The 6,972-nt window shown below is 38.5% G+C and overlaps 1 annotated feature.

Moving 5' to 3' along the window:
• Positions 352-893: an enhancer, noted in NCBI's record as "NANOG hESC enhancer chr5:81886910-81887451 (GRCh37/hg19 assembly coordinates)". NCBI's record gives its function as "activates a minimal SCP1, AML or CMV promoter by ChIP-STARR-seq in naive H9 embryonic stem cells {active_cell/tissue: H9 hESC(naive)}" and the evidence as "EXISTENCE:reporter gene assay evidence [ECO:0000049][PMID:30033119]".

The raw sequence follows: 6,972 nt of genomic DNA, 5'->3' as shown, positions 1-6,972 counted from the left end.
TTTAGGAAAAACAGTTGCCTGCTGGGAGATAGGAGATATGAGCACTCTCTTACCTAGATCAAAAGTAACTGAACATCAATCAGATTCTGACTCAAATAATTGGTGAATTCATGAAGGCCAAAGCAAGACTGGGAGGACAGCAGGAAACCACTAAGAGACACAGAAATTTAAAGAGTTCATACCCTCCTGCCCCTCTTTCCCTGCAAACCCCACCAGCTGATCACAGAAATAGAAAGTCTTAATTGTGAGGCAAACCTGGGGAAAAATAGCAGCTATATGAGAGAAACCGGAAACTTCACCAGAGTTTTTTGTCTGTCTCCTCTATTGAACAAAAGTCTTAAACTATACGGGTGGGGAAAGGAAAAGAGATGGTTAGGCAGGAACAAAAATCACTCTTGCCTTTAAGGCGTAGGTAAAAATTCTTTGTAGCTGAGAGAAGAAAAATTAAAAGAGAAAAAAGCCTAATCTTGTGTCAGGGGCAGAAATACACACTGCACCAAAAATAACAGCCAGGGAAGGAGAAGAAGCATTAAGAAAGCCACACTCCTAAAATTCTACATAAGCCTGAAATTTATAACAATAGAGAATGCTCTCTTCCACTGTCATCCAAGAAAATAAGTTTAAATAACAATAAGAATACTGCAGGGAGAAGGCCATTGAAGGAGCAAGAATGTGCAAATTAGACCCACTGTAAGGCAAAGTAGAGAGGAAAGACTTAGGGTGCAGGACCAAACAGACATTGCTCTGGATAATGAATCACCACCTTAAACATAAGGCATCACTAAGAAATTTGAGTCATCTGGAGTATTGAGGGTAATCACAGCAATAGCAAATATCAAACTTAGCTCCACCCTTAACTAAACCAACTCAAATTCCCATGTTAAAGACCCAACAGAAGGAAAGATATGCCCATTTTCAGGCATAAAAACTATTTACCTCAGTCTCCTCTGTCCTATACAAGCTATCCAGCTTTCAAAAAATATTAAAAGGTATACAAATAGGAAAGAAAGAACACACAAAGCAAAGCAACCATCAGAACCAGACCTTGCTAAAACACAGCTATATGAACTATCTGAAAGAAAATTTCAAAATAATGATAATTAATACATTAAATGCTCTAAAGAAAAAAGTGAGATACATGCAAGATCAGATGAGTAATTTAATCAGAGAGATAAGAAAGAATCTAATGAAAATGTTCAACATGAAAAGCACAGGAACAGAGCTAAAGGATGATTTTGACAGACTCATCAGCAAACTAAACTCCACCAATGAAAGCATCAGTTAACGTAAAAATAAATCAACAGAAATTACTGAGATTGTAACACAAAGGGAAACAAAAGTGAGAAAAAGAAAACAACCAAAATATTCAAGAGCTGGGGAACAAAGATATTTGTAATATACACACAATTGGAATCCCAAAAAGGAGAAGAAAGAAAGAAAAGGGCAGAAGAAATATTTGAAGAAAAAGTCCAAGAATTTCCCAAAATTAATGGCAAACACCAAATGCAAGTACATGATGGCCATAGAAAACCCAGCAAGATAAACACACACACACACACACACACACCCCTTCATTTGCTGTATTCAAACTGCTGAAAATAAAAGACAAACATAAAATTTTGAAAGCAAGAAGAAAAGAAGGAATACAGGGAAGTATTACAGCAGATTTCTCATCAGAAATCATGTAAACCAGAAGACAATGGAAAGACATCTTTAGAGTGCTAGGGGAGGAAAGGAGAGGCCAGGGTCGGGGTGAACCACCAACCCAGAATTCTATAACCTGTGAAAACAACCCTCAAAACTGAGGGAGAAATAAAGACTCTGCCAAACAAATAAAAGCTGATGGAATTCATTACCTGCAGATGTACTCTATAACAAATGTTAAAAGAAATTCTTCAGATAGTAGAGATATATCAAACCAAAACTCATACATACAAAAAGAAAAAGCACCACACAGTGGGAGAAAATAGCTGCGTGATAACTGACTTATACCCAGAATATATAGAGAGCTCTCAAAACTGAATAAGAAAACAAATAACCTAATTTAAAAAACTGGGATGTATTTCTGAGAAGTTTCACCAAAAAAAGATATCTAGGTGGCAATAAGCACATGAGAGGATGTTCAACATAATTAGTCATTAGGGAAATATAAATTCCAACCGTAATGAAATAGCAATACATAGAATGGCTAAGGTTAGGGAAAGCTAGGTGAAGGGATACAGAGATTCTTTGACTGTCTTTGCAAATGTTCTGTAAATAAAATAATTGCAGAAGAAAAATTTACAAAAAAGGCATGGGATCATTTTCCATTGTTGAGACCCCAGTAGCAAAAGACCATGCTTAGTACTGGGGAGGACATTAGGGCAAGGAAAGAGAGAGGAATGCTCCAGACACAATGTGGCCAGAGTCCTCTGGTCCTGACCAGAGGACAAGTTAGATCTTGTTAAATGTCCCTCATGGACTCAATGATATCAAAGTGACTGGCTGAGTAGCACAAATATGTTCGGGACGACTACAAACCTGCAAACTTTGGCAGCCACACCTTACTTCCCATATATGATCAAGTCTGGTGTGATGCATATTTTCTTAGTTTGCTTTCTTTAATGTCTCGCATATAAGGTGTTGAAGTATGAGAGAATAGAGAAGGGAAGGAGTTTCTCAGAAAGTGAACTTTCTGGTAAATTTAAGTGCTGTCACTGTTGTTCAGTTCTAGTTTACTATAGTGCCCAATAATGAAACATATTTAAGTTTAAAAGTGGTCTATTTGGTGGTGTTTGTGCCTGTCTTAATGACTACTTCCACTTGCAGTTATGGACAATTTTTCCTGTCATTTAAGACAATTCTAAAACCCCACCAGGAAGAAGTTGATTTGAGGCTTCATGTAGATCTGGCTTCACTGATTGGACCTTGATAAGCTTACCTCCCAAACATCATTATTCTTTAGTTTTAAGAGTCTTTTAAAGAACAATTAAACATGTTACAGAATAATTTTGGATTCAGACTTTAACTAGTGTTTAAAATCCTCTACACGTGTGCTCACCTATAATCACATAACATCTGGTGAATTTCTCAGTAAACATTGGCTGAAGTAGCCTCTAAATTCAGTTCATGATTCTACCATTTAAATTCAAATTAACCAAAAATACAACTAATAATTTTTTCCTCTCGTCTCCACACACAACCATCTTTCAAGAAGTCAAAAACAACCTTTATTCTGGCTGATGAACCATACATCAAAGTCACATTTCTGTATATGACTCAAACAGAGACCTATGTGAAGAAGTTACAGCAAGTGCTCCAAATAATACTTCTCCCCATGAAGTAAATATGTAGACAATTACTCTTTGCTTTGTCAAACTAGTTAGGCTTCCATAGAGTAACTACACTATAAAAAAAAAAAAAAGTAAAGTACAGCCAATTTTTGCCTTCCATGGGGGCACTTTTCTTTATAGTTCAGTTACTCGAACTCTGAAAATGAAAACTATAGCTCGAAAACTAGACTTCTCCTTTCATCACTCCTGTTGCTCTGCACTCAAGGAAGACTGGGACAAAATCTCTCATAAAGCTCTCAGAGGTATTTATTCCTTGTTCTTTTTATTCTGTTGGCTTAAAATGAATGTTCCAATGCTCTACCTGCACCCTAATTTTGATTGCAACCAATTTCCAAGAGCTTTGCTGCTCCAGATAAGAAGAGACTCCATCCTCTGCTTCTGACCACAGACTCCTAGGTCCATGCCTTACCACAAGCCTGGAAGAACATGTCATACATCAAGTCAGTTCTCTTCTTTGACTCCCAAATCCCCTTTCTCATCAGAAGCAATACCTTCAGAGGGAGAGTTTGCTTTTGGGTGTTTCTTTTCTGTTAGGAAGATATTTTCACTGGAATGAAGGAGAAGGAGTAGCCAACCTTAAAGGTAGAGCCAGGACTACTTATATTCATGTGGTGTTTGTCTACTCTCTGTCTCTCCTTTCAGACTATGAGAGTTTCTGGGGGAGGGAGTAAATCATGGCGTCACCATATATAACCCAGAATAAGTGTTCAGTACATTTTAAAATTAATTAATTAGTTAGTTAGTTATAGTATTTGTTTGATCTTTGCACTAACAACAAAGAAAAACAAATAAATAAAAACTTAACCAATCAATCAGCAAATGAAAAACCAAAGACAAACTAATTGGCATTTAGGGCCTACACTGGGGATTAGTAGTAATAATCCTTTTGGTTCTTTGAGAAAGATTTCATTTAGATATATGAGATATATTATCTGTACACAAGGATCTAAAATCTGGCAAATAGAAAAGTAGCAAGAAAACTAAGACTGAAGAAGTTGTAACTACCTCTTATTAGCAAGATAACTTTTAATGGGCTACACACCCTACAACAGCTGGTTTGGCCAATTCTCTTTTTTTCAGTCTGCACTTTGGGCATAATAAGCTTTGCTTTAGCTTTTAAAAAAGGCAGGATTAAGTCTTTGAAAAGTAATAGTCCTCTTAAATTTGTGCGTCCTGGTTTTTGAAAAACAGAAATGAACTCACAGACCGTAACTATGGTAGGAGACAGGCTGAATTGCAATTTTGTTTCATGTTTGGGGAGTAGGAAAAATAGAACCTGAAAGTTGAAAATCTCCATCTTATAAATGAATATCATTGCCTCTACCTAGAAAGCTACTACTGACCTATCAAAAACCTTGTAGACAAGTTAATACTTCTGTGATGTGTGCAGCTCTTTAAACAATCTGCCTGTCATGCCAGAGAGTACATTTTCACTTGGCTTCTTTAACAGACAGTCTAAGAAGAAAGAATAATACCAAGGACTCCACAGCTGCTTCTGCATGAGGCAAGGGTTTTCCATCTGTACTGTAGTATTTGGCCCTTAAATAACTTTTTACACCCCACAGTGCATGTCTATATAACAAGGAAGGAAAGGGAGTTGGAACTACATGGGGCCACATGAGAAATGGAATTGCTTCTTTTGGCTTAAGGGCATAGGCAATCTAAGACGCTTCTCCCTGGGACATACCATGTAGTTTTTTATTGACTTCCAGTGATTTTAATGCTGAAAGAGCCAAAGTCAAGGTGAGTGTTCTTAACATATTGACATCAATGGCCCAGCCAAGGAGCTGCCAACAGGCCTTTGAGAGAACAGTTAGGACTCCTTGTTTACCTTTCCCCACAAAGACATTGGATCGGGGTGGGGTGCATATAATATAGTGGTTAATAGTTTTGAGGTCAGACAGACTTTGGTTTAAATATTAGCTTCTACTACTGCCTAACTGGCATAGACGCTTCTCTGAGTCTCAGGGTTTTTTTTCTTTTCTTTTCTTTTCTTTTTTTTTTTTTTTTGTGGAAACAGTAACAAGAGCCTTGTAAGGTTACTAGGAACAAGGGGAGGGGATTAAATGCAAGTAAATAAGCCAAAAACAAAGTCAGCACATTGTAAGCACTCAAGGAATAGTAGCTGCTTTTCACAGTTCTCTCCTGTTTTCTGTCTCCATGTTCCTCCTCTGTTTCGCTTCCTTTCTCCTTCCTTTCCCTTTACATGTCTCCCCAGCCTCAGCCTTATGCTTGTCAGTGACATCTAGGAAGACCCACAGTCCCTGCACAGGAAGCCCCTCTGCTTATAGGCCCCACTGGCTCTCATTCAAGACTCTGTCAGCTTTGTTACCACAGTATGTCTTTCGTCAACTTGTAAACACCACCCATGTATTTTTGCCTGTTTTAAGGGCCCAGCTTTAGAGTGTTAATTGAAGTTTGCCTTCTGCCTGTAATATTTTCTTAAACAACTTGCTTAAGATGTAGTGAAGTGTACCATCCCCAAAACCATCCAAATAATATGATGCTGAAAATTAGAAAGTCTTGTTTTTGGTTGTTGTTGAATTCTTTTTTTTTTTTTTTTTACTTTTTATTTGGAAATAATCTAACACAGAGAAAAGTTCTAAGAATTAATAATAATGTACAGAAGACCTGTATATCCTTAGCGCAGATGCACTTATTAATAACATTGTAAATTTGCTTTATATTTATGCTCACTCTCTCTCTTCGTGTGTGTGTGTACAGCTGACCCTTGAACAACCTGGAGGTTAGGGGCACAGAGCCCCACACAGTCAAAAATCCACATATAACTTTTAACTCCCCCAAAACTTAACTACTAATAACCTACAGTTGACCAAAAGCCTTAACAATAACATCAACTAATACATATTTCGTGTATTGTATGCTGTATTCTTACAATAAAGTAAGCTAGAGAAGAGAAAAGGTTATGTGATTAAGAAAATCATAAAGAAGAGAAAATATATTTACTATAATTAAGTGGAAGTAGATGTTCATAAAGGTCTTTATCCTCATTCTCTCCACATTGAATAGGCTGAGGAGGAGGAGGAAAAGGAGGAGAAATTCCTCTTGCTGTTTCAGGGGTGGGAGAGGAGCAAGAAAATTTGCATATTAGTGGACCTGCACAGTTCAAACCCATGTTGTTTAAGGGTCAACTGTATATGTGGGGGAGCAGCCAAGACTGCCGAATAGAAACAGCTCCACTTTGCGGCTCCCACTGAGAATGAAAATGGTGAGTGAATGCTACATCTTCAATTAAGGTACCAAGGTTCTCTCATTGGGACTGACTAGGCGGTTGGCGCGACCCACAGAGAGACAGGAAAAGCAGGGTGGAGCGAGGGCCCACCTGGGAACTGCACGGGGCAAAGGGAGCTCCCTCTCCCACCCCAGGGAGGTGGTGAGGGATTGTGCTACCCCCTCACTGAAAGACATGCTTTTCCAACAGATCTTTGCAACCCACGGATCAGAAGGTCCCCTCATAAGCTCATGCAACCAGGGCCTTGGATCCAAAGCATAGAGCTGTGCAGACTTATGGCGGCTTCTCAGGTGGGTGCTGCTCAGAGCAGGCACAGAGCTGCAGGAGTTTTTACCTACTCCAGCTCCAGGAGCTCAGTGAGGCAGGAGATCCATCCACTCCCATGGA

This window comes from Homo sapiens, chromosome 5 (assembly GCF_000001405.40).
Source record: "Homo sapiens chromosome 5, GRCh38.p14 Primary Assembly".
NCBI classification, from domain to species: domain Eukaryota; kingdom Metazoa; phylum Chordata; class Mammalia; order Primates; family Hominidae; genus Homo; species Homo sapiens.
Note: the sequence above shows the minus strand (reverse complement) of the source record. Positions and strands in the feature narration are given on the sequence as shown.